At 38.7% G+C, this 21,610-nt stretch overlaps 2 protein-coding genes and 1 pseudogene across 9 annotated transcripts in view, besides 2 other annotated features; 1 reads left to right on the top strand and 2 right to left on the bottom strand.

Moving 5' to 3' along the window:
* The window catches only part of ARMCX5-GPRASP2 (ARMCX5-GPRASP2 readthrough), a 308,717-nt gene extending 288,358 nt beyond the window's left edge, over positions 1-20,359 (bottom strand). Inside the window, exons 1-4 of one of the 3 annotated variants that reach the window (NR_146584.3) lie at positions 19,860-20,192; positions 18,198-18,243; positions 17,730-17,827; positions 14,054-14,225 (exon numbers count right to left, since the gene is read on the bottom strand). The gene's annotated coding sequence lies outside the window, so the exon portion shown is untranslated. Of the gene's footprint in view, positions 1-14,053; positions 14,226-17,729; positions 17,828-18,197; positions 18,244-19,847 lie in introns of all 3 variants that reach the window. The other 2 variants (NM_001199818.1, NM_001350268.2) reach the window with 2 other exon arrangements.
* Positions 3,887-4,234, top strand: H3P45 (H3 histone pseudogene 45; annotated as a pseudogene).
* ARMCX5 (armadillo repeat containing X-linked 5) lies at positions 15,548-20,501 on the bottom strand. Of its 6 annotated transcripts, none has more exons than NM_001168479.2 (6): positions 20,441-20,501; positions 20,135-20,359; positions 19,860-20,001; positions 18,675-18,787; positions 18,198-18,243; positions 15,548-17,827 (listed from the first exon to the last, which is right to left on the bottom strand). In NM_001168479.2, the coding sequence occupies exon 6, from the start codon at positions 17,563-17,565 to the stop codon at positions 15,889-15,891; it is 1,677 nt and encodes a 558-aa protein (NP_001161951.1). In that variant the 5' UTR covers positions 17,566-17,827; positions 18,198-18,243; positions 18,675-18,787; positions 19,860-20,001; positions 20,135-20,359; positions 20,441-20,501; the 3' UTR covers positions 15,548-15,888. The 6 variants fall into 6 exon arrangements, with proteins under 6 accessions (NP_001161951.1, NP_001161952.1, NP_001161957.1 ...); NM_001168480.2 differs by having other exon boundaries at positions 19,860-19,995; NM_001168485.2 differs by lacking the exon at positions 18,675-18,787 and having other exon boundaries at positions 19,860-19,995.
* Positions 19,375-20,146: an enhancer, noted in NCBI's record as "H3K27ac hESC enhancer chrX:101854489-101855260 (GRCh37/hg19 assembly coordinates)". NCBI's record gives its function as "activates a minimal SCP1, AML or CMV promoter by ChIP-STARR-seq in primed H9 embryonic stem cells {active_cell/tissue: H9 hESC(primed)}" and the evidence as "EXISTENCE:reporter gene assay evidence [ECO:0000049][PMID:30033119]".
* Positions 19,893-19,942: an enhancer, noted in NCBI's record as "active region_29814". NCBI's record gives its function as "activates an Ori minimal core promoter by ATAC-STARR-seq in GM12878 lymphoblastoid cells {active_cell/tissue: GM12878}" and the evidence as "EXISTENCE:reporter gene assay evidence [ECO:0000049][PMID:35858748]".

The raw sequence follows: 21,610 nt of genomic DNA, 5'->3' as shown, positions 1-21,610 counted from the left end.
TGCTCAACATCATAAATCATTAGAGAAATGCAAATCAAAACCACAATGAGATACCATCTCACAGCAGTCAGAATGGCTATTATTTAAAAATCAAAATATAACATGCTGGCAAGGTTGCACAGAAAAGGGAACACTTACACACTGCTGGTGGGAGTGTAAATCAGTTCAGCCATTGTGGAAAGCAGTGTGGTGATTCCTCAAAGAACTAAAAACAGAATGACCATTCGACCCAACAATCCCATTACTGAGTATATACCCAAAGGAATATAAATTGTTCTACCATAAAGACACATGCACGCATTTATTCGCTGCAGCACTATTCACAATAAGCAAAGACATGGAGTCAATCTTAACGCCCATCAATGGTATACTGGATAAAGAAAATGTGGTAAATATATACCAGGGAATACTACACAGCCATAAGAATGAATGAGATTGTGTCCTTTGCAGCAAATTGATGGAGCTGGAGACTATTATCCTTAGCAAACTAATGCAGGAACAGAAAATCAAATATCACATGTTCTAACTTATAAGTGGGAGCTAAATGACAAGAACACATAAACACAAAGCAGGGAACAACAGATACTGGGCCCTACTTGAGGGTTGAAGGTAGGAGTGGGGAGATAATTTAAAAAAATACCTATTCGGTTCTATGCTTAGTGCATGGGCAACAAAATTATCTGTACACCAAACCCCTGTGGTGCAAGTGTACAGATAATACACCTATATAATAAACCTATATAATAAACCTGTACATGTACCACTGAACCTAAAATAAAAGTTAGACAAAAAACAAAGAAAAGAAAATTATATGAAATACTCAAAAGGAAATGCTAGAAATTTAAAGCACTGTAACTGAAATGAAGAATACCTCTAAAGGATTCCTTCATCAGTGGATTGGACAGTCAAGGGAAGAATCGGTGAGCTTGGAACTATATCAGTAGAAAGTCCTCAAACTGACAAGAATAAAAAGGAAGGAATAAATAAAATAAATAGATAAACCAAAAGAAAAAACACAGAAAAGAATATCCAAGAATTATGGAACAATTACAAAAGTTGTAACACACACATAATGGTGATACCAGAAGGGGAAGAAAGAAAGAAACAACCATTTGAAGTAATAATGGCTGAAACTTTTGCAAACTGAATGACAGATGCTGTCTTGGTCTGTTTTCTGCTGCTATAAAAGACTATCACACACTGGGTAATTTGTAAAGAAAAGGAATTTATTTGGTTCATGGTTCTGGAGGCTGAGAAGTCCAGGATCAAAAGGCTGAATCTGGTGAAGGTCTTCTTGCTGCATCATAACATTATGGAAGGGCAAGTCAGCATGTGAGACAAAGAAAAAAAGAGGGCCTAACTCCTGGAATAACTAACCCACGCCCTCCATAATGGCATTAATCCACTCATGATGGTGAAGACCTCACAATCTAAATACCTCTTAAAGGTCCCAACTCCCAACAGTATTACTTTTGCAATAAAATTTCAACATGAATTTTGGAGGGGACATTCAAACCATAGCAGATGCCAAACCACAAATCCAAGAAGCTCACAGAACACTAAGCAGAATTTAACCAAAAAAATTTACACATAGACATATTATACTCAAGCTGCAGAAAATGAAAGACAAAATCTTCATAGATTAAGATAAAATCTTCATAGAAGCCAAAAGAAAAAAAATGCCTTACTTACAGAAGAGCAAGGCTAAGAATTAGGTTGAACTTATCTTCAGAAACCATGCCATCAGGAAGAGAGTGGAGTGGAATATCTAAAATGTTATAGTAAAAAAACACACCAATCTGAAATACTGATACAACAAAATAATCCTTCTAAAGTGTAGAAGATAAAGACTTTCAGACAAACATAATTTGAGACCAAATCTGTGTTTTTTCTTTGGTTAATCTGAAATGGCCCACATCAAGCAGACTACACACAAGTCTACTGGAGGTAAACTGCCATGTCAACATCTGGCCACCATGTGATCTCATTGTTCAATTCCCACCTATGAGTGAGAATATGCAGTGTTTGGTTTTTTGTTCTTGCAATAGTTTACTGAGAATGATGATTTCCAATTTCATCCATGTCCCTACAAAGACATGAACTCATCATTTTTTATGGCTGCATAGTATTCCATGGTGTATATGTGCCACATTTTCTTAATCCAGTCTATCATTGTTGGACATTTGGGTTGGTTCCAAGTCTTTGCTATTGTGAATAATGCCACAATAAACATACGTGTGCATGTGTCTTTATAGCAGCATGATTTATAGTCATTTGGGTATATACCCAGTAATGGGATGGCTGGGTCAAATGGTATTTCTAGTTCTAGATCCCTGAGGAATCGCCACACTGACTTCCACAATGGTTGAACTAGTTTCCAGTCCCACCAACAGTGTAAAAGTGTTCCTATTTCTCCACATCCTCTCCAGCACCTGTTGTTTCCTGACTTTTTAATGATTGCCATTCTAACTGGTGTGAGATGGTATCTCATAGTGGTTTTGATTTGCATTTCTCTGATGGCTAGTGATGATGAGCATTTTTTCATGTGTCTTTTGGCTGCATAAATGTCTTCTTTTGAGAAGTGTCTGTTCATGTCCTTCGCCCACTTTTTGATGGGGTTGTTTGTTTTTTTCTTGTAAATTTGTTTGAGTTCATTGTAGATTCTGGATATTAGCCCTTTGTCAGATGAGTAGGTTGCGAAAATTTTCTCCCATTTTGTGGGTTGCCTGTTCACTCTGATGGTAGTTTCTTTTGCTGTGCAGAAGCTCTTTAGTTTAATTAGATCCCATTTGTCAATTTTGTCTTTTGTTGCCATTGCTTTTGGTGTTTTGGACATGAAATCCTTGCCCATGCCTATGTCCTGAATGGTAATGCCTAGGTTTTCTTCTAGGGTTTTTATGGTTTTAGGTCTAACGTTTAAATCTTTAATCCATCTTGAATTGATTCTTGTATAAGGTGTAAGGAAGGGATCCAGTTTCAGCTTTCTACATATGGCTAGCCAGTTTTCCCAGCACCATTTATTAAATAGGGAATCGTTTCCCCATTGCTTGTTTTTCTCAGGTTTGTCAAAGATCAGATAGTTGTAGGTATGCGGCGTTATTTCTGAGGGCCCTGTTCTGTTCCATTGATCTATATCTCTGTTTTGGTACCAGTACCATGCTGTTTTGGTTACTGTAGCCTTGTAGTATAGTTTGAAGTCAGGTAGTGTGCTGCCTCCAGCTTTGTTCTTTTGGCTTAGGATTGACTTGGCGATGCGGGCTCTTTTTTGGTTCCATATGAACTTTAAAGTAGTTTTTTCCAATTCTGTGAAGAAAGTCATTGGTAGCTTGATGGGGATGGCATTGAATCTGTAAATTACCTTGGGCAGTATGGCCATTTTCACGATATTGATTCTTCCTACCCATGAGCACAGGAAGGAGAATATCACACTCTGGGGACTGTGGTGGGGTGGGGGGAGGGGGGAGGGATAGCGTTGGGAGATATACCTAATGCTAGATGACGAGTTAGTGGGTGCAGCGCACCAGCATGGCACATGTATACATATGTAACTAACCTGCACAATGTGCACATGTACCCTAAAACTTAAAGTATAATAAAAAAAAATACATAAAATTTGACCATTTCCCCAGCAGATTTCTCATCCATAGGCTCAAAACCAACTCATTTTATTTTGGGAGCCCTACAATACTTTATCAATATTATATCATTTGAAAAAAAATGATCTGTAGTCAAAAGTTACTGTAACATTGTCTATAGACATCCCAGGAACACAAAGAATAAGTTCACCTAGAAAAATGTTATATAATTTTGTTTTTATAAGACATTAAAATGTTATATAAAAAATTATAAAACATTAAAATGTTATATAAAAATTATAAAACAAACAAAAAAAAAATCTGGCCACCAAGGTAGCCCGCAAGAGTGCTCCAGCACCAGAAGCATAAATAAGCCCTAGCAGCTACTAGCTTGGCACAGTGGCCCTGCGTAAGATCCGCTGCTACCAGAAATCAACTGAGCTGCTGATCCGCAAGCTGCCATTCCATGATCTGGTGCACAAGATCGCACAGAACTTCAAGACCAACCTGCACTTCCAAAGCTCAGCAGCTGCAGGAAGTGTGAGAGGCCTACCTGGTGGGGCTCTTTGAGAACATCAATCTGTGCGCCATCCACTCTGAGTGACTATCATGCTCAAGAACATCGAGCTTACATGCCACATTCGTAGACAGAAAGCATAAAGCTTCCTCAGCAATAATTCTACCCAACTCAAAGTCACTTTTAAGAGCCACCCACTTTATCTGAAAACATAATTATGATTAACTTCCATGATTAACTACTTCAATAAGTTCTATGTAAAAATTTTTAACTCTGGTTGTGAGTCTTTGTATTTAAAGACCATTTGATTTGGGACATTCAAATGAGGATTTGTTTTCATAAATAAAACAATAAGCTTGCTGGATTTGTTTCCTGACAGTCTCCTAGAAGTGCTTTAAAAAATTAAGAGAATTTATTGCCAGTAGACCTCTCTTGCCAGAAATGTTAAAAGTAGTTCAGAGAGAAGGAAAATTATACAGGTAAGAAAGTCAGATCTACATAGGAAAAAAAGATTGTTGAAGAAGGGATAAATGAAATTTACAAATATTTTACAGTTGACCCTTGAACAACACAGGGGTTAGGGGTGCTGACCCCACTGCACAGTCAAAAATCCATATATAATTTTTGACTTCCCAAACTATTAATAGCCTACTGTTGATCAGAAATCTTACTGATAAACAGCTTATTAACACATATTTGTATCTTAGATGTATTATATATTATATTCTTACAACAAAGTAAGCTAGAGAAAAGAAAATGCTATTAAGAAAATCATAAGGAAGACAAAGTATATTTACTATTCGCTAAGTGGAGGTGGACCATCATGAAGTTCTTCATCCTTATCATCTACGCATTGAGTAGGCCAAGGAGGAGGAAGAAGAGGGGCTGGTCTTGCTGTCTTGGGGTGGCAGAGGCAGAAGAAAATCTGCATATAAGTGGACCTGTGCAGTTCAAACCTGTGTTGTTCAACAGTCAACCATATTTTTCTTATTTCTAATTGATCTAATAGACAATAATTTGTTCAAAATAACAATAGAAACAATGTATTCAGTGATTACAGCTTATTGATATTTGAAATAATGATAACAATGTTAGAAAGGATGAGAGAGAAGAATTGGTAACACCTTGTCATGAGGTATGTGAACTACCCATGAATCAGTATAGTGTTATGTGAAACTGAATTTAGAGTAGTTGCTAATGTATATGACAAACCTAGAGCAATCACTAAGAAAATTGTAAAAAGAAATACTTCTCCGAAATGCTTGGGGCCAGAAAAGTTTAAGATTCCAGCTTTTTTTTTCCTTTCAGATTTTGGAATATCTGCATTATACTTATTATATCAGTTCAGCATCCCTAATACAAAAAATTTGAGATCCAAAATCCAATGAGAATTTTCTTTTAAAGTCCCATTGGTGCTCAAAAAGTTTCAGAGTTTGGAGCATTTTAGAGTTCAAATTTTCAAAACAGGGATACTCAGCTTGTATAATTAATGCACTAAGAGAACAAAATAAATGGAATAATTTTTTAAATGCTCAATTAAAACCAGAGAAGACGGAAACAAAGTGGATTACAAAATACAACACTAAGAACATGGCAACAAACATAAAATAGTTACAAATGTGTTAAACATTTATCCAAATATGTCAATAATCACTTTAAATACGAATTGTCCGAATACTCCTATTAAAAGACAGACTTTAGGGGTGAATGAAAAAAATCAAGACCCAACTATATGTTGTCAATAACAATCCACTATATATATATAAAGACACAGATAGCTTGAAAGTAAAGGAGACTAAGACATAAGATGCAAGCACTAATCAAAAGAATCAAAAGAAAAAAGCAGACTTCAACAATAATGAATGGGTCAAATGTCAAAGAAGACATAACAGCTCTTACTATATATGTTCCTAAAGACAGAGTATCAAAATATGGGAGGCAAAATGTGATAGCATTGCAAAAAAAAAGCAGGCAAATCCACTATGATAATTAGAGATTTCAACACTCTCAGTAATTGAAAGATCCACTAGGCAGAAAAGCAGTAAGGACACAGTTGTACTGAATAGCACCAATAATTAACTGGTTCTAATTGACATCTGTAGAATATTTCATCTAAAACCAGAATATACATTCTTCTAAAGATCACATGGAACAGACACCAAGATGGACCATATTGTGAGCCACAAAAAATACCTTAACAAACTTAAAAGAGCAAATTAGTCAGTGTATGTTCTTGGACCATAATGGAATTAAACAAGAAAATAATAGAAATGTAGCTGTCAAATCCAAAATATTTGAAAATTAAACAACACATTTCTGAATAACAAATAAATCAAAGAAGAACTACCAAGAGAAAATTTTTAAAATAGTTTAAAATAAATCAAAATGAAAATATAACATTAAAATTTACGGCATGCAAATAAAGCAGTGCTTAACAGTAAATTTGTAGAATTGAATAGATATATCAGAAAAAAGAAGTATCAATAACATTAATTATCTAGCATGCCACCTTTAAAAACTAAAACAAGAAGAGGATATTAAATCCAAATTGAGCAGAACAAAGAAATCATAAAAGAGCAGAATTCAGTGAAATTGAAGGCAATAAGGAGATAATAAGCATTAGACTTAAAAGATAACAAAATTTCAGGCTGGGCGTGGTGACTTACGCCTGTAATCCCAGCACTTTGGGGGGCCGAGGTAGGCAGATCACTTGAGGTCAGGAGTTTGAGACCAGCCTGGCCAACATGGTGAAACCCCATCTCTACTAAAAATACAAAAATTAGCCTGGTGTGGTGGCGCATGCCCATGCCTGTAGTCCCAGCAACTTAGGAGGCTGAGGCAGGAGAATGGCTTAAACCCAGGAGATGGAGGTTGTAGTGAGCCGAGATCGTGCCATTGCACTTTAGCCTGGGCGACAGAGCAAGACTCCATCTCAAAAAAAAAAAAAAAAAGAAAGAAAAAGAAAAATTCAAATCAACAACTAAACTATACATCTTAAGGAATCCGAAAGAGAATAACAAACTAGGCCTAGAGCCAGCAGAAAGAAGATAATAAACACTAGAATGGAGATAAATATGGAGTAGAAAACAACAAGGAAAATCAGTAAGATCAAAAGTCAGCACTTGAAAATATTTTTTAATGACAAACCTTTAGCTAGATTGACTTTAAATGACGGAGAACTCAAATTAATAAAATCAGAAATGAAAGCAGAAATATTATTACCACTTTATAGAAACAAAAAAAGAGTATGAGTACTATGAACAACAGCATGCCAAAAAACTGGATAACCTAGATGAAATGGATGCATTCCTAGAAACATACAATTTAGCAAAACTGAATAATTAAGTAATAGAAAATCTGAATACACCTATAACTAGTGAGGATATCAAATCAGTAATCAAAAAACCTCCCAACAAAGAAAAACACTGGACCAGATCGTTTCACTAGTAAATTTTACTAAACATTTAAAGGAGAATTAACAGGAATCCTTTTCAAGCTCTTTAAAAAATAATGAAAGAAGAGGGGCTACTTCCTATTAGCTTGGTACCAAAGTCAAAGGTACTATAAGAAAAAACTAACAACCATAAACCAATATCTATTATGAATACTTATGCAAAATTCTCAAGAATATACTAGCAAACCAAATTCAGCAGCATATTTGAAAAATTATACTCCATGGCTGCATTAGTCCGTTCTCACACTGCTATAAAGATACTACCTGAGACTGGGTAATTTATAAAGGAAAGAGGTTTAATTGACCCACAGCTCTGCATGGCTGAGGAGGCCTTAGGAAACTTACAATCATGGTGGTAGGGGAAGCAAGCACATCTCACATGGCAGCAGGTGAGAGAGAGAGTGCAGGAAAAACCACCATTTATAAAACCATCAGATCTTATGAGAATTCACTCACTATTATGAGAACAGCACTGGGGAACCGCCCCCATAATCCAATCACTTCCCTCCCTCAACAGGTGGGGATTACAGGTCCCTCCCTCAACACGTGGGGATTACAATTTGAGATGAGATTTGGGTGGGGACACAGAGCCAAACCATATCATTCCATCCCAACCCCTCCTAAATCTCATGACTTTTCACACTTCAAAACACAATCATGTCTTCACAACAGTCCCCCAAAGTCTTAACTCATTTAGGCATTAACTCAGAAGTCCACAGTCCAAAGTCTCATTTGAGACAAGGCAAGACCCTTCTGTCAATGAGTTGTTAAAATCAAAAGTAAGTTAGTTACTTCCTAGATACAATGGAGGTATAGGCATTGGGTAAATGCTCCTGTTCCAAAGGGGAGAAATTGGCCAAAACGAAGGGGCTACAGGCCCCATCCAAGTCCGAAATCCAGCAGGGCAGTCATTAAATCTTAAAGCTCCAAAACGATCTCCTTTGACTTAATGTCTCACACCTGGATTATGCTGATGCAAGAGGTGGGCTCCAACGGCCCTGGGCAGTTCTGACCCTGTGGCTTTGCAGAGTACAGCCCCACTCCCAGCTGCTTTCACAGGCTTGTTGTTGAGTGTCTGTGACTTTTCCAGGTGCACAGTGCAAGGTGTCAGTGGATCTACCATTCTGGGGTCTGGAGGATGGTGGCCCTCTCCTCACAGCTCCATAAGGCAGTACCCCAGTGGGGACTCTGTGGGCTCCAATCCCACATTTCCCTTCCACACTGCCCTAGCAGAGGTTATCCATGAGGGTTCCACCCCTCCAGCAGACTTTTGCTTAGACATCCAGGCATTTCCATACATCTTCTGAAATCTAGGCAGAGGTTCCCAAACTGCAGTTCTTGACTTCTGTGCACCCACAGGCCCAACACCATGTGGAAGCCACCAAGGCTTGGGGCTTGCATCCTCTGAAGCAACAGCCTGAGCTGTACCTTGGCCCCTTTTAGCCACAGCTGGAGTTGAAGTAGCTAGGACACAGGGCACCAAGTTCTGAGGCAGAGTTTAGTTGAGTAGTGGAGAAAGAAACTAGATTGCAATTGTGTGAGGACTGAGTAGGAAATGAGAAAGCAGAAACAACAAATGCGGAAAACTTGATTATTCTGAAAGGGTGAAGAGAAAGATAGCTGGAAAAGTGTGAGTTTAGTGTTAGGAAAAGGATTTTTTTCCTCCCAAGGGAAAAATGATTATATGTTCCATGCAGATATGGGGAAACCTATAAAAATAGTGGGGTTAAAATACAGGAGAATTAAATAAGTAGGAAAGCGAAAGTCCCTAAGAAGAAGCAAACACTGACAGAACTGAAGAGAAAAAATACAGTTTTATAATAATAGTAGGAAACTTCAAACCCCATACTTAATAATGAACAGAGCATCTAGACTCGAGATCAATAAAGAGATACAGGACTTGAACAGTGGTATACATCAACTAGACCTAACAGACATATATAGAACTCTGCACCAAACAATAGCAAAAACACATTCTTCTAAAATAAGTCTCAATGAACTTTGTAAGACTAATATCATGTGAAATTATCTTCATTGACAATGGATGAAGCTAGGAATCAACGCCAGAAAGAAAAATAAAAAATTCACATATATATGGAGATTAAACAACACACTCTTAAATAACCAATGGGTCAAAGAAGAAATCACAAGGAAAATCAGAAAATACTCAGAAATGAATAAAAACAAAAACAGCATAACTAAACTTATGGGATGCAGCAAAAGCAGTGGTCAGAGAGAAGTTTATACTATAAACACCTACATTAAAAAATAAGAAAGATCTCAAATCAATTACCTAACTTTACACCTTGAGGAACGAGAAAAAGAAGAGCAAATGAAACCCATAGCTAACTGAAGGAAGGAAATAATAAAGATTCGAGTAGAAATAAACAAAATAGAGAACGGAAAAACAGCAGAGAGAACCAATGAAACCAAAAGTTGGTTCTTCAAAAAGATAAAGAAAATTGACAATCTTTTAGCTAGAGACAAAAAAAGAAGACACAAATATCTAAAACCAGAAAGGGGGAACATTATTACCAGCCACACAGAAATTTTAAAAGATTAAAAGTACACAATGAACATTTATACACCAAAAATTAGATAACTTAGATGAAATCAACAAATTCTTAAAAACATATGTAAATTATATAAACGGACTCCAAATCTGAATAGAAAAGACACTGAACTGAATAGAAAATCTCAACTGACCCATAAAGAGTGAGGAAATTAGACCAGTAATCAAAAACTTCCCCAAAAAGAGAATTCCAGGACCAGACGGTTTCACTAGACAATTCCAACAAACATAAAGAAGAGTCAACAACAATCCTTCTCAAGCTCTTCTAAAAAGTAGAAGGGGGAATATCTTCTAACTAATTCTACGGAGCCAGCATTACTCTGATACCAAAACCAGATGAAGACATCACAAGGAAACATTACGTACCAATATTCCTTATGAATATAGATGCAAAAATTATCAACAAAATCCCAGCACAACAAATCCAACAGCATATTAAAAAGATTATATACCATGACCAAGTGGGATTTATCCTAGAAATGCAAGGGTGGTCAGCATAAGAGAGTCAAACGATGTAATATACCAGTTGAATAGAACAAAAAAATCTGCACATGATCATCTCTGTTGATACAAAAAAGATATTTGATAAAACCTGATATCCTTTAAAAAAACACTCATAAAGTTAGGCACAGAAAGGAACTTCCTTACCATGATAAAAGACATTTATGAAAATCCCACAGCTAATGTCACATTCAATAGTAAAAGACTGAAAGCTTTCACTGGGAAGATCAGCAACAAGACAAGCATGCCCGTTTTCTGCACTGTTATTCAAGTTACAGCCAGAGCAATTAGACCGGAAAAAGAAATACATGGTAACCATATAAGAAAAAAGAAGATAAAAGTATTTCTATCATGGATGACATGACCCTATAGATAGAAATTTCAAAAGAATCCACAAAAAAACTACTAGAGTGAATAAATTCAGCAAAGTTGCAAGTGACAGAATCAACACATATCAGTTATGTTTCTATATACCAGCAATGAACAATATGAAAAAGAAAGAAAATAATTCCATTTACAATAGCATATAAAAGAATGAAATACCCAGGAATAAATTTAACTAAGGAGGTGAACAACTTACATACCTAAAACTATAAACTATTGCTAAAAGAAGTTAAAGACCAAAATAAATGGAAGGGCATTATGTCTTTATAGATTGGAAACTAAATATTATAAAGAGGGCAATACCCCCAAGCAAAATTTCAATGTGAAAATTCCAAAGACTTTTTTGTATAAGTGGAAAAGCTGACTCTAAAATTGACATGGAATGGAAAGGGACTTAGAATAACAAAAACAATCTTGAAGCAGAAGAACAAAGTTGGAGCACATACACTTCCTGATTTCAAAATGTACTACAAAACTACTGTAATCAAAATTCTGCAGTACTTGATGAGATACAGAGGTCTAGTTTCATTCGTCTGTATATGGATATCCAGGTTTCCTAGCACAACTCAAAATGGATTATAGACCTAAATGTAACTATGAAACTACTAGAAAAAGAAAACATAGGAGAAATACATTGGTCTGGGCAATGATTTTATGGATAAGACCTCAAAAGCACAGGCAAAATAGCAAAAATAGACAAATGGGATATCAAACTAAAAAGCTTCTGCACAGCAAAAGAAACAATCAGAGAGTGAAGAGATAATCTACAGAATGGGAGAAAATACTTGCAAACTATTCATCTGACAAGGGACTAATATCCAGAATATATAGTCATGTATTGCTTAACCATGTGGATACATTCTGAGAAATGTGTCCTTAGGCATTTTCACCATTGTAAGACTATCATAGATTCAGATTTTCTTAAGATCTTCTAAAAGAAGAAGGGCAAAAAAGCTCTTCTACTTAGAAGAAGAAAAGTACTACTTACAAATACCTAGATGGTATAGCCTACTACATACCTAGGCTGCATAGTATAGCCTACTGCTCCTAGGCTACACACCTGTATAGAATGTTATTGTATTGAATAATGCAGGCAATTGTAAGACAGTGGTAAGTATTCATGTATCTAATCATATAAAAGGTACAGCAAAAATTTGGTATTATATTCTTATGGGACCACTGTCATACATGCAGTCCATCATTGACTGAAACATTGTGTAGAACACGACTACACAAGGAGCTCAAACAGCTAAACAACAAAAACACAAATAATTCAATTTAAAAATTGGCAAATGATCTGAATAGGCATTTCTCAAAAGAAGACATACAAGTGGCCAAAAATTATATGAAAAAACACTCAACATCACTAATCATCAGGGAAATGCAAATCAAAACCACAGTGAGATATCATCACACCCCAGTTAGAATGGCTATTGTCAAAAAGACAAAAAAAAATAACAAATGGTGGTACGGATGCAGAGAAAATGGAACTCTTATACATTGTAGGTGGGAATGTAAATTAGTACAGCCATTATGAAAAACAGCATGGAGATTTCTCAATAAACTAAAAATAGAACTACCATATGATCCAGCAATCTTACTGCTGGGTATGTATCAAAAAGAAAGGATATCAGTATATCAAAGAGATATCTGCACTCTCATGTTTATCACAGCACTATTCACAACAGCCAAGATATGGAATCAATATAAGTACCCATAAACAGATGCAAGGATAAAAAAATGTGGTATATATACACAACAGACCACTATTCAGCCATAACAATGAAAGAAATCCTGTCATTGGTGGAAACATGGATGAACCTGGAGGACATTATATGAAATAAGCCAGGCACAGAAAGATAAATACCACATATTATCATTCACATGTGGAAGCTATAAAAGCTCATCTCATAGAAGTAGAGTGTAGAATAGTGGTTACTATTAGGATGGTGCAAAAGTTATTGTGGTTTTTTTTTTTCAATTAAAAGTTAAGAGAATATAGGGAAAGGAATGGGGTGGGAAAGGTTGGTTAACAGATACAAAATTACAGCAAGATAGGAGGAATAAGTTCTAATGATCTATATAGCAATGTAGGGTGACTACAGTTAACAATAAATAATTATATATTTTCAAATAGCAAGAAAAGATTTCGAATGTTCCCAAAACAAAGAAATGATAAATGTTTGAGGTGATAGAAACACTAATTACTCTGATGTTTAAAACTATACAACTTTTAGAAGAAAACATATGGGTATCTTTGTGACCTTGAATTTGGTGATGAATTCTTAGATATGACACCAAAAGCACCAGCAACAAAAGAAAAAAATAGATAAATTGGGCTTCATTGAAATTAAAAACTTTTGCACATCAAATGACATCATCAAAAGTGAAAAAACCTACAGAACAGGAGAAAATATTTGCAAATCACATAGCTAATAAGGGGCATGTATCCAGAATATATATATTTTAAAACTCCTACAATGCAACAATAACCAAAAACACAATTAAAAATGAGCAAAGAACGTAAACATACATTCTCTAAAAAATATACTCAAATGGCCAATAAGCACATGAAAAGATGCTCAACATCATAAGACTTTCGGGAAATGCAAATTAAAACCACAATGATATACTACTTCACACCTCCTAAGATGGCTATTTAAATAATAATGGAAAATAACAAGTGTCACCAAGAATGTGGATAAATTGGAACCCTTGCATATTGCTGACGGGAATGTAAAATGGTACAGGCACTGTGGAAAACAGCTGGTAATTCCTCAAAAAGCTAAACAAATCATACAACCCAGCAATTCCACGTCTAGGTATATACCCAAAAGAATTTAAATCAGGGACTCAAACAGATACTTGTACTCCAATGTTCACTGCAGCAATATTCATAAGAGCCAAAAGATGGAAACAACCTAAGTGTCCATCAACAGATGACACCTCATGAACAATCTAGGAGATGACTTCGCATCCCACAATTCCCATCCAAGGAGAGACCATCAACTTTGTGCTTTGACACAAATACGTACACACCCCACACTCACCCTTCTCTTTAGCTGATGTTGGAAAATTCCATAGCCATCAACTGATTAAGTGTGTGCTCCACAGGGCATTTGAGACACAGAATTATTTCCAAAGGGTCTGGTCCAATTGTATTTTGATGATCTCCAACACTGAGAGTAGTACCCACAGCTGGTATTACAGGCTACAGGAGTTCTGTGGATTAAAAAATGTTATAAAGAACTTCAAAAATCATCTAAATTGAAGTTTCACATTGCAAAAAAACTACCTTGCTTGTTTCCCTTAATGCACAAGTGTAGCTAACTGTGCTTCATTTAAACTTTTAGATGTACCACAATAGATTCACAACTGATCCTAGTAGAAATTAAACTACAGATAGCTATTAAAAGTAGGGATCCATTACACCATATTGAGATTTTCCACTTTAGACCTTCCCCTAAATGTATAAAAAGTTAGGAGAGGAAGGTCAACAGAAAGACCATTTGTATACTGATCCTAATATTTATATTTCCCAATTCTGGGCAGTAAATTAACAGTAAAAGAGGCAGGGGGTAGGAGAGGCAGAGGTGACCCCAAAATCCTAAACTATACATTGTCATTCTATTCCACAAATCCTTGCAGAGAACCTAGCTTTTGTTAAGAATAAACAGGACAAGCTTAGTATAGACAACATGGCTTCAGCTCTATAAACTATGCGAATAGACAGAACAGTGGGTTTTATGGGAATTAATTTCTTCCTAACTACGCACTTCTAAAGGAATTTGGTATCCTGTGGCTATGCCATACATAGAGCTGAGCTCTGACCAAAAAGAATCAGCACAAACAAGGGGCTGCTACCAACTGTGGTACAAATCACCAAGTCCAAACATTGGCCAGAAAACAAAGGTAAGGAGTAAACAGTCACCAGATGAGACAGACGAGATTATCTATGAAGCAGTTTCAGTAGGTAATCCCCAGAAAGACTCTCCTCTGAGGCCCAGGACTTCTGGGGGAGAGAATCACAGATGAAGCAGTAAATCTGATACCCCTGGATAGGGAGGGAGCTGTTGAAGGCACAGTGGGGCTGGGTCCCTTCAGAACCACACTTCCTGTGCAGCTGTCCATGGCTTACTGAATAGGGGTGAGAACCAGGAATCCTCTTGGGGTTAAAAAGCTTCAAGGCATCCTGATGAGACATTTTATGTGAAAAGCTGAGCACAAGTTCCGGAACTGAGACTACAATGAAAGCATCTGTATTCCCTTCCTCCTTACTCCCTTCCCCAGAGCTGCCCAGATAGGGCTTCATTCCTCATTTGAAGCCCTATCAGTAGGAGCCTACAGACAACTAATAGCACAGTCCTGCCTTCTTGCATAGAGTGATTCTACTTTTTAAGTATGTCGAAACTAAATAATCTGTCAATGTGAACTTGTTTTGTTTGTGCCCCACTACAGACACACAGGCAGTGTTCTTCACCATCTTTATGCTCTCTGTGCTTTATCCCCCCAGACTAGATTTCAGCTGAAGAACTAGGACAATATTTTCACCAGTTTTAGCATGCAACTTTATTAACAACATGTAAATAAAATCTCAAAAGAATACACATATCAATATAAAGCACAGAAGTATAGCTTACTCAGGATGAATAGATTCATTATCAGGTCACGTTGCAGAAATACCAAAAATATCTCAATTTATATACTATATAGCACAATAAAAATCAGCACATGTTCAGGATCTCAAGATTAATTGGTATCCATAAAATTGCCTCCCTCAATCAACATGGAAAACATAAGTATTGAATTTATAATTACAATATGCATTGGTTTCATATTGCAACTCCAAAAAACTGTTTGAGGCTTTATGAGAACAGAGGGGTATTCAGAGTTTTAGTATTAATCGTATGACTTTATCTCTCACTTCGGGATCACTGTGCTCTGCTAAGTCTTGGAGTTTCTGACCAAACTGTTTTGCTTCCTGGAATATTGAAATAAGCTCAGATTTAGTGAACTTTTCCTTGGTAAATAGCTTTGCCTTTGTTTTGAACTGAAAATTTATATTCTCAAATATTTCAATAATATTAAGAATATTGGCCTTTGACTCATTCTTGTTAAAGGGTGCAACCAATGATGACAGTACTTTGGCACTGATCAATTCTCTTGTATTGGCGTGATTTTTAGACAAACACGAAAACACTTTTAAAACATAAAACTTGGTTTTGACACTTCCCTTGTTTAACAAGGTGAGGAAATCTGGAATATAACTGGTAATCACATAGTGATCTTCAAATTTTATACTCAAGTGCCCTAGTAATTTCAGTCCAGCCAGCTGCACAGGGGAGTTCAAGGGGCAAGAGATTATGCCTTTACAAACTTGATGTATATATGACTCCCCTGATTTTGGTTCTTCGGAAGACTCAGAGCTGTCATCCACCATACTTAAAGCTCCAGGGTGTTCTTTAACATTGGGATTATTGACCAAGTTTTCAATCATAACAGTAATACCTACATCATGAATTATATCTTGAGTAAATGGATAAGCAGGACTGATGCCCATTATCATTGTAGCTATTTCATGAATGAAAGGATCCTTAGTTAACTTAAGGAGGGCAACAAGTTTATCAAACTCTTTAGGCTCTAAACTAAAGCCACGTGATTTGCAGTGGCAGGCCTTCGGATTAGGCCCATACTTTTCCCTTTGCCTAATCTGTTTTTTGATCTCAGCTAAGGTCTGGTAATAAGGCCCATGATAAGGTGGGATCTTGGTCAAAGGTCGAATCCCCAGAGGAGTTTCAATCAAGGTCTCAACCAGGGTCCAGTTTCCTTCTGGAGGCAAGGATTGCTCCCCTCCTTCAACTGGAACTAGGACAATATACCTGGCCCTTGACCATGCTATTACCTTTTGTTTTATAGTAAGTGTGGGTTTGTGTGTGGGCTTGGGCTTTTCCTGGATCTTAGGTAGGGGCTTATAAACTTGAAGAGAGGTCTCTTCTTCAGGCCAGAACCAGGACCCTACACTAGGCTCTTCTCCAGTCCAGAACCAGGAGCATATATTTTCTTCATCCTCATCACTGGATTTCATCCCAATGCTGGTCTCTTCCCTTCTGTCAGGTCTGGACCCAGTATTGGCCTTATCATGTGACTTGGCATAGGACCTAATATTTGCCTCAATGACAGCAACAACCTTGACTTCAGACTTGGTTACAGTACTGACCCTAGACATAGGCATGGCCTTTGACTTGGTTTGTGGCACTATACTGCGTTCTGCCAGGGGTTTTGTCTTAGTCTCAACCATGACTCTAGTCTTAGTTGTATCTTCCACCTTGATCACTTCCCTTGTCACAGCCATAGCCTCCCTGTAGGTCACTGTATGTGTCCTGGTCATTGCTCCATCACCAGCTTTGGCCTGGGTCACTGATTCTGTTTTCAGTTCTGCCTCAGCCACTGCCTCGGCCTGGGTTTTACCATTCACTCTAGCAGTGGCAGGACCACTGATTCCATCTTGCAGGCCAGCCTCAGCCTTTCCTCTAGCCCTTGCTTCTGTCCCAGAGTCAACCATGTTCCAAGTTTAACGTAAGGACAAGTTATATACCCCCACCCGTCTCAGCCTTGACTGAAGTTTTGTCCCGGTTGGTGTTTTCACACAAAGTCCAGTAGTCACTCTGTCCCCTTTCCAACTACAGGCTCTGCCAGTGATATAGAAAACATGCAGAGGAAGCTCACTCAAGGTAGGGAAGGATGGCTGTGCATGGGCCCAGCCCTGTGGAGGGTGGTGGTCTTCAGCCACTCCAAGGCCACCAGATCTGCCACTGAAGTAGGACCTAGGGGTGGAGGAAGGAAATGGGGCTTTGAGTCTCTTCCAACTTTTTTCTCCTCATGCTGATCAGCACAGGGAGACAGGAGAATATGGTGATTCAGTGCTAGGTGAGAGAGGTAGATAATTAGCAAACTCTCTCTCCCTTCATTTCACCCACTCCCTACACTTCCAAGTGCCATCAGCCTTCTTTCCAGTCACCAAACAGGAGCATAAGGAGTAGGAAAACTGGATGAGAAGCTGAGGAATCCCTTTAGTGGTTCTTGACCCCTGCTGGAGCCAAGCAGCTCTCCACTACTCCATCCTACAGGTCTACCCAGGCAATCCCCACACTCATACCAACCTGCACTGATCTGGAGTAACTTTCTCCTCCTTACCTTGCTTCCAATGGTGACAAGCCCTACAGCAGATCTACAGGCAGACCTATGGACAAATAAACAAACAGGAGAATGTGGAAACTGATCTCCTGGTGACAGACCTTGGTCCCTTGCCCTTATTCTTGCCTTTCCAGATTTTGTCTAGTGTTTCCCTCCTCCTATCCCCTCTCCCCCACTGCTTTGTTTCAGGGCTACTCCTCCTCCTCCTTCCTATTGCCCACCATCTTCCTCTTCAGTGATTGCCCTAGAATGTCCCTCGTTCAGATTAGACTAGGTTCAAGCGTGAGAGCAGGACAAGCAGTGGAGAGTGGGAAAGGCAGCTTAGCATTCTGTACCCCCACAACTTACCAAGACTCCCAACTAAATCAGCAGCAGCAGGGGGTGGGGCAGATGGGAATAATTGGTAAAATGACAAAACAGAAGAGATGGAATTCTCTAGTCGAAGTTGCCCCCCTGTCCCTGTACCTTTACACCAACCTTAACAGATACAGGGCAATTTTCTCTTCTTCGTAATTTCCTAGTTTTAAGTTGGGTGACCATTTTACAAAACTTCACAACTGACAGTTCCACAGACCTGGGGACAGATCTACCTACAGGGATTCACAAAAACAGAGACCAATAAATGAAGACACAGGAGACAGTTGAGGCTGTTTTTGGTAGAGACCAGCACCTAGGGCACAGTTTCTTTCTGGATATAAGTACCTGTTTGGCAAACATTTTCTATCTCCCCTTTTTCTCCCACTCCTAAATCTCCAAGCCCCTCTGCTCTATTCTCAAAGTCTGACAATTCCTATACAGAGACAACTCAAACATCCCTACAAGGTAGTAGTAGTGGTGTTAGTAGGGACGAAATGCCTAGACAAACCACGGAGGCTGGGGAAAAAATGAAAAGTATTTATTTCCATATTTCATCTGGGTTCCTATGTTTCCTTCCTCTCTCCCAAAGCCTATCATTTTCTGCAACATAATGCGGGTAAGGGAGGACATGTTAGGAAAGCTGGCAGAGAGTTCTGGAGGCTCCCTTACACTCCTGCCTACTCTAATCTTAGCCATCTACCACCTCCAAGTACTGCCTCCCAAGTACTGCCCACTCTGTACAAACCAGGCCAATTTTCTTTTCCTTCTCCTCTCCCCTTGAGGTCTGCTGTCCCCTACAGATCTTTACAGAAACATGGAGTGCTGCAAACTTAGGAACAGATTTACACATAAAAACGCGTGATACACACCCAAAGAACAAATGAAAAGACAGAGAGAGAGACGTGGTTATTAATGGTCAGACCAGTAACCAAGACATGAGACCCTTTTCAAATCCAGAGCCTTGATTATCAAACATTTACAACCTCTTTTTACATTCTCTCCCTCTCAGGGCTCCCCAGACAACTGTCCTCGCCTGTGGAAGTAGCCCTCTCTTCCTCATCTAGTCTGCCTTTTCCCTGCTAGAAGCTGCAACCTTTTTCTTCCCAAGCATGGTCTGAGGTGAACCGAGTGTATGGAAATCAAGCTAGCAAAAGGTAGATCATTTTTTTTTAATTGTTGTGTGCCATTCCAATTACCCATCTCTCTCTCCTTCTCACCGCCCGCCTCCCATGACCAGGTCGCGTATCCAGTGTTCACCTCTGATACCCACATCCACCCCCAAGCGATGCGCACCTTCTCACTGACCTTCTCTGCTTGGATCAGAGGCAGTTTTCTTATTTCCTTGCCTCGAGGTGCTGTGTCATACAGCAGCAGGAACAGACAGTCAGACACAAGGACTCGAGGCAATGGCGGCGGCTGTGTATGGGGATTGACTCGGCACCTGGGACTCAAGACGAGATAACCGCTTTATCAGATTAAAGACTGCGATTGGCAAACTGTTGTCACTTTTGGTATTCTTTTCTCCTTCCTGTTCCCAGGGCTCCTCAGAACCTCGCGCGTAGTTACCATTTAACATCTACCTTTTCCTCCGCAGACGAGGTTCTTCCACGTCCGCGTTACCCACAACGGCAGTGGGAGGAGCTAGAGCGTAGTTTATGGGGATCCGGCTTATGGAAGCGGAGTGATATCAGGCTTTGTTTAGCGCCGCGACTCTTTTCTGTCGGAGGGCTCCCTGTCCTGTACCCTGTGGCCGCTTCAGGTATTGGAATGCGCAGGGACGAATTCCGGATATAGGGAAAACGGCGCTGGAACAAGAGAGGCAGACAAATACCAGAGTGTTTCTGTATTAGTTCCCCTTTTGCGGGAGCTCCCCCCACCAAGCCTACCATTCTTTCCTGAACTGAAATGCACATGGGTTTCCAGCTGTGGTGTCAGGAAATCTCTTCTGGCCTGACAGGCGGAAGTGTTCCAGTCTTTCGAAGTTCGTTCTCCAAACACAGAGGCCCACTGAAATGGGCGGTCTCGGGGTGGGGCCCAGGGTAGGAAAGTCAGCAAAGAGAGTCAAGACTGAGATAGGAGGATACATACTAATCGATTCCACAAACTTTGTGTTCCTTCGAGTCCTCCCTCCCAGCCCTTAATTTTCATTTTCTTTTTTTTTTTTTTAAGTTCTAGGATACATGTGCAGGATGTGCGTGTTTGTTAAATAGGCAAACGTGTGCCGTGGTGGCTTGCTGCACCAATCAACCTATGACCTAGGTATTAAGCCTGGCATGCATTAGCTATTTTTCCTAAGGCTTTCCCTCACCGCCCCCCACAACCCCTGACAGGTCCCAGTGCGTGTTTTTCCCCTCCCTGTGTACATGTGTTCTCATTGTTCAGCTTCCACTTATAAGGGAGAACATGCAGTATTTGTTTTCTGTTGCTGCATTAGTTTGCTGAGGATAATGGCTTCCAGCTCGATCCATGTCCCTACAAAGGACATGATCTCATTCTTTATTATGGCTGCATGGTATTTCATGGTGTATATGCACCACATTTTCTTAATGTTATCACTGATGGGCATTTGGGTTGATGCCACGTCTTTGCTATTGTGAATAGTGCGGCAATGAATATACGTGTGCGTGTATCTTTGTAATAGAATGATTTATATTCCTTTGGGTATATACCCAGTAATGGGATTGCTGGGTCAAATGGTATTTCTGGTTCTAGATATTTGAGGAATTGCCACACCGTCTTCCACAATGGTTGAACTAATTTACATTCCCACCAATGTAAAAGCGTTCCCATTTCTCTGCAACTTTGCCAGCATCTCTTGTTTCTTAACTTTGTATTAATTGCCGTTATGACTGGTGTGAGATGGTATCTCATTGTGATTTTGATTTGCATTTCTCTAATGATCAGTGATGTTGAGCTTTTTTCCATGTGTTTGTTGGCCACATAAATGTCTTCTTTTGAGAAGTGTCTGTTCATGTCCTTTGCCCACTTTTTAATGGGGTTGTTTGTTTTTTTCTCGTAAATGTAAGTTCCTTGTAGATTCTGGATATTAGACCTTT

The sequence above is a fragment of the Homo sapiens genome, chromosome X (genome assembly GCF_000001405.40).
Source record: "Homo sapiens chromosome X, GRCh38.p14 Primary Assembly".
NCBI classification, from domain to species: Eukaryota; Metazoa; Chordata; class Mammalia; order Primates; family Hominidae; genus Homo; species Homo sapiens.
Note: the sequence above shows the minus strand (reverse complement) of the source record. Positions and strands in the feature narration are given on the sequence as shown.